Raw genomic sequence first — 5,575 nt, 5'->3', positions numbered from 1 at the left:
GTGCTTCCCTTGTGCTGGTGGGAAGTTCAAACCATGTAAGACCTGGTCTACATGCAAGAATCCTTGTTGCAGTCCCTGCTTTCTCAATCCATTTTCAGACCTGCTTGGAAGTCTTTCCTGCTCTCCCTAGAAAGCTTCATTATTTGAATAATAAAAATTTCACACACTTTCCATGTGTATTACATCACCAGTTTCTACATTCAAACCTAATTCTGAATCAGGTCTGCATTTCACTTTGGTGGGGTAATCACAAGACACCCATTGAGAAGATGCTTCCTTTCCACTGTCTGTCTAGGCCACCCATGATTGTGGCAGGAAAGCAACTGCCAATCACTTGGCTTGCACCCTGATACCAAGCTATCCCATCCATAGACTAAACTTAGACTTTTTTTGTCCTTCTTCTATTGATCAAACATGTCCTCCATATGGCCTTACATATGAGCTCAAGAAAGGTATTGGTGCAACAGTAGTGGGTGTCATGTGAATTGAGACAAATTGTTCATGCAACTTACTTGTACCTTCTGTCCTGCCTGGGCTTGATCTCAGATGTACCATTTCCAATTCACGGTGAATTTCTGCTCGACCTGTCTGACGGTAAGCTTGGTAGGTCCAAAAGAAACCAGCAGTGTGATATGCGTGGTCACTTGGTGCCTCGTATTTAACCAACTGATCTATACCAAGGACAAATAATATATCAGAAAATATTTTCCAAAAAGTGTGTATTTCTTTACTGCTGATGGTATAGCCTTGCTCCTGAATCCCAAGGGCTTGCTTTGGGATTCTTGCACTGCAGCTTGCCATAATCCTCAAATTGTATCTTTCCCCATTGCAGATACTTGCAACACCATAGGTCTACAGGATTGTAATTCCAAGTGACAAAGCAGCTCACACTACAGTCTGGAGTTGCTGAAGAGCCCTTTCCTGCTGGCAACCCCTATGCCATTCAGTACATGGGCCAAGCTGTGTAACTAGGTGTGGAATGTGTGGCCTCCAAAATCCACAAAGGCCTACCAGGAGCCATGCTTCCCTTTGCTGGTAGAGATGCAATATGGAGCAATTTGTCTTTTATTTTTAAGGGATACTTGACATGCCCCCAAGATCCCCAAGGATGTCACTGAAGTTGCAGGTCTCCTAATTATTGAAGGGCCTATCTTCCACCCTCTGGAACTTTCCTGTGTTACTGAGGTCTCTCCCTCATGTTAGCCACCTTTTGCCCATTTTTCCCAGTCAGTCTGTTTCGTTGATGTAACAGATCATTATGGTGTTGGCCAGTGTCCAGATGGTGCAGACCTCCTCAGACTATATTAGGACAGAAAATGAGAGAGTTAACACTGGAGCAAAACTGTAAATGAATATTGCCATCCCGTCTGTGTGAATGTGAACTGTTTCTGACTCTCATTTCTGGTGAGAAAAAAAAATGCATTTGTCAAATCTATTATAGCATAATATCCAATACATTTTTAATCTATTCTACAATGATACCCTGTCCAGCACAACAGCTACAATCAGCCTACAAATTGGTAGATCTTGTGCAAGTCCCTTGTAATTTTGGAGTTCCTATCTAGTTTCTATAGAGGCCAGACTGGCACATTAAAAGGTGTAAATTAGGAACCACTATCCCTATACCTTTAGGCCTTTAATAGTAGCAATAAGTACAGCACCTAGCCCAGGATAGGTATTTTTTACAAACTAGCTTGGATGGAGTGTGTGGGGGTAAGTTTCAGAGGTTTGTACTAAGCCTTCCCCACTATAGTAGCTCTCACCGCATAGACCAGGACTTCATATGGGGATTACTCCAACTGTCAAATATGCCAATTTGCAATAAGGCACTTGGAAACCAAGGAAATGCCTACCAGCTGCATTTGTAACCTCAGTGGATCCATTTGAAGCCAGTCCATGTTCTGGACTCCATTGATTACCTCAGTGGGCTATGATGACGCCTTGGGCCTATGGGTGACAATATCCAATAAGCTTCAAAATGCCTGGCTAGTCATCTTTCTCCAGTTTATACTCACCTAAGTTAATGGCCATAGATCCCTTTGGAGAAAGACTGCGGACATATATTTGCAGTTGGGTTGCATGTGCATTATCCTGGAAGCCTGATACCTTTCTAGTCAATAAATTCCAGATCTGAAATTTGGCTTAGGTTAGGAACTGGGCATGTAATTGTAACTTTTTTTGTGAGGTCTCCTACTCCTCTCATCTTATTCTGATTTCAGATGTTAAGCAGTGCCTTCATTGGCTGCACATCTCATTTGCTTCAAAGGATCCCATGCTTTATCAACCAGCTCTACGAGTCCCTAAAGGTTGAACTCCCTTGACTGCCCCTTTGATACTGGTGATTACTGATGGAAATTCCAGTCCCCTAGCTTCTGGCATATAAGTCCTGCCACATGGTCTCTATTACTTAAGGGAACCATCACCACCATGGCTATTAAGCCCAGCTCTATGAATGCCTCTCTGAATTAGCTTCCTGGGGCTTGTATAACAAAGTACCCCAAATTGGGAAGCAGGGTCAGGCTCCCTCTGAAACTTACAGGGAATTCCTTCCTTGGCTCTTTCTAGCTTCTGGTAGTTTGCAGTCATATTGTATTAGGGCCCTTCCTCATGACCTCATTTTCACTTGATCACCTCTATAAACACCCAATTTCCAAATAAGCTCACATTTTGAGGTACTGGGGGTTAGGAATTTAGCATATTTTTGTGGGGTGAGACACACTTCAGCTTATAATACTCTCCCACCATCACCCTTGACCTGCGGGGAGAGCCACCACTGAATGCAGCTGTATTATGATCACAGAATACACTCTCAAAAATACATTCATGTTGACCATGGTGAATGGTGTGTTCTCTAAGCCTCTCCACAGAATAATCTTCTGTTAGGTATTCTGACCTCACAAAATGTACCCATTCCAGCCTAATCACTTTCCTTAGCCTGTTAATCTTTCCCCTGCTATCTATCAGGAGAAACACAGGCAGGAGTTTGTTCAGCAATAGCCACCTCTTCTTCAGGATTTTACAAGCCACCCGTACCCTAGGGTCTTTCCCTAGGGAGCTGAATCCCAAATCCCAAGGGGCTCTAAACTATTGAATTGTTGCTTATCTAGTCTTTCATTTTGAATCTTTTTTATCAAGAACCCTTAGAATCCAACCCTAAGGAGTACTTCTTTGGCTCCTGCTAATACATCCTAGCTAATTCTTAGGCTCTTTGGGGTTTGGTATCTTACCTTTTTAAAAGGCTTGGCATATCCTCAGCCAGGCTATGCTAGGATTTCACCCAGCTACTCAGATTGGCAGTGATGAGACTATATGGGGGCTGCTCCCAAGAGGGCCAACTGTTACTATATGAGGAAGAATCCTAAGTGTTATGGTTTGCCTGTGTCCCCACCCATATCTCATCTTGGATTGTAGCTCCCATAACCCCCATGTGTCGTGGGAGAGACCAGTGGGAGGTACTTGAATCATGGCAATGGGTTTTTCCCATGCTATTCTCGTGATAGTGAGTAAATCTCATTAGATCTGGTGGTTTTATAAAGGGCAGTTTCCCTGCACACACACTTGCCTGCCGCCATGTAAGCTGTGCCTTTGCTCCTCCTCTACTTTCTGCCATGATTGTGAGGCCTCCCCAGCCATGTGAAACTGTGAGTCCAGTAAATCTCTTTTTCCTTATAAATTACCAAGTTTCCAAAATGTCTTTATAAGCAGCATGAGTACAGACTAATACACTAAGCAAGATATTTCCTTATGGGAGAAAATTTAGCTTATAGTAGGGAGGAATGGTATACCTCTGTAAGCTCTGAGATTTCAGGGGGTAGGGAGTTGCACAGTCAGAATCCGTGGAGGACACATATATGCAGAAGTCCTTAAATGTTGTTTTAAGATCCCAGGTTTTCCTAATAAGAATTTATCACAAGAGTCCTGTTGCCTTGGCTGAGCATTTAAACACATTCGGAGTTCTGTAACTCTATTAAGCTACGAAAAAAGTACCTCTGGTTCTAATACTTTAACTGTTTAACCATGTCCCATTATTCTTATGAAAGGAATCAATAATGCTTGGTAATAACTGGCGAGTTCTGCTCCCCTATTAAGAATTTTTCTCCCCTATATCTCTCGAATACCTGAATAATCACTTCAGAAAGGGGCCTTCTCTCTCTTAGTACACTTTCCCAACATCAGCAATGGTGAAATTTTTAGCAGTTTGGCAACCAGTTTGTGCCAAGCGTTAGCCATGCTTCACATTCTACTCAGGGTGAGTGTCCTCATTGCTCTCTGGGTGGTAAGGGAACCAGTCCCAGCCACAACTTCCAGTAGCACTGGTGTAGGTTCAGGACTCTCAAGAAGCCTTGATGATAAGAGAAAATCTCTGAAGCTTAAGTAGTAGGGAGCAGAAGAAGGCAAGACTTGTATTCTAGCACAATGCGGGTATAAAGCTTGTGAAAAGAGAATGGGGAGAAAGGAGAACTTGTAGACTGAGAGCAGTTCTGAGAAAGTCTTGGCCAGAGTGATAAGAAGTTCCCCAGCAAAAGCTGCTTATTAGAGTCTAGCACTGGCAAGAATGTCCTGGCTCAAGAACTCCCACTATGCTCATTCTTTCTGCCATGATTGTGTTAGGAGAAAGATGGCCTCAATAGGAAGGACACAGTGGATCTCAAGGTACTACAGGTGGATAAGTCACCCCACAGAAGATTCTCTTGAAGGGAGAGCTTAGTGGCTTACATTCATGCCAGCACACCCTTGAATACCGGTAAAGCATGAGTCTTTATGATGGAGCCCGAAGTTCACTGAAGTGTCTTAAAATGAATCTTTCTTTGGAATACTTGTTGCTTTGGCTTAATTCAGCTCCCATAATTGCATTAAACTAGATTCACTTCTCTTCCCTGTGTAAATAACATTGATGTTAGACCTTCCAAACTTACCTTGCTCTGAAACTTTCTTCTGCCTCTCAAATCTGACTCCACCTCTCTGTGAAGAAAACAAATTAAACAGCAGTGACAAAATATGTTTCGATATGTAACACCCTCCCTGAAATGATGCTATTCCAGGATTCCAGTTTTTCTACCGAGTTTCAAACATCCTTTTGAAGAGTCATCTCTCTTAGTCATGTCTCCTGTGGCCTGCTCTTCTATGTTGGCATGAAAACTAAAAGATACATGCATTTTGGGTGAGGGGTAGCAGAAGAGATACTGTAACATTTGGAAAAATTGGGGTTAATTCCAAATATAAAAATAATGTTGGGTGGGAATTTTCAAATTTTTTACTCCGTGTATGTTATCAGTTCAGTTAATTAATACTAACTACCAAATCATACAAGACTCAAAATCTTTGTAGCTTAATACAATAAAAGTTATGCAACATAGTTTAGCAGAAGGCTATTTTCCACTTAACAATTCAAGGATTGAGGCTTTTTTTTATGTCCCCTTATCATCATACAATTTTCAAATTGGTTGTAGCAGACAAAGAGAGTAGGAGGGACACTAGCTCCTAAATGTCCTGAATAAGAAGTGACACAAAATTTCCACTCACATTTTCGTCTGCCAGAACTCACTTCTATGTCCCCAGCCTAACTGCAAAGAAG

At 42.2% G+C, this 5,575-nt stretch overlaps 1 long non-coding RNA gene across 1 annotated transcript, besides 1 other annotated feature; it reads right to left on the bottom strand.

Annotated features, from left to right (window-relative positions):
- Window positions 1-430: 430 nt before the first annotated feature.
- LOC107986387 (uncharacterized) lies at window positions 431-4,953 on the bottom strand. The gene is made up of 3 exons (XR_001742523.1): window positions 4,917-4,953; window positions 1,208-1,299; window positions 431-671 (listed from the first exon to the last, which is right to left on the bottom strand). It is a non-coding gene; the product is annotated as an uncharacterized LOC107986387 (long non-coding RNA).
- Window positions 4,384-4,584: a silencer, noted in NCBI's record as "peak5340 fragment used in MPRA reporter construct". NCBI's record gives its function as "represses an SCP1 promoter by STARR-seq MPRAs in K562 erythroleukemia cells {active_cell/tissue: K562}" and the evidence as "EXISTENCE:reporter gene assay evidence [ECO:0000049][PMID:32103011]".
- Window positions 4,954-5,575: the final 622 nt, after the last annotated feature.

Source organism: Homo sapiens, chromosome 5 (assembly GCF_000001405.40).
Source record: "Homo sapiens chromosome 5, GRCh38.p14 Primary Assembly".
Taxonomy (NCBI): domain Eukaryota; kingdom Metazoa; phylum Chordata; class Mammalia; order Primates; family Hominidae; genus Homo; species Homo sapiens.
This window is presented reverse-complemented; position numbering and strand designations above follow the sequence as displayed.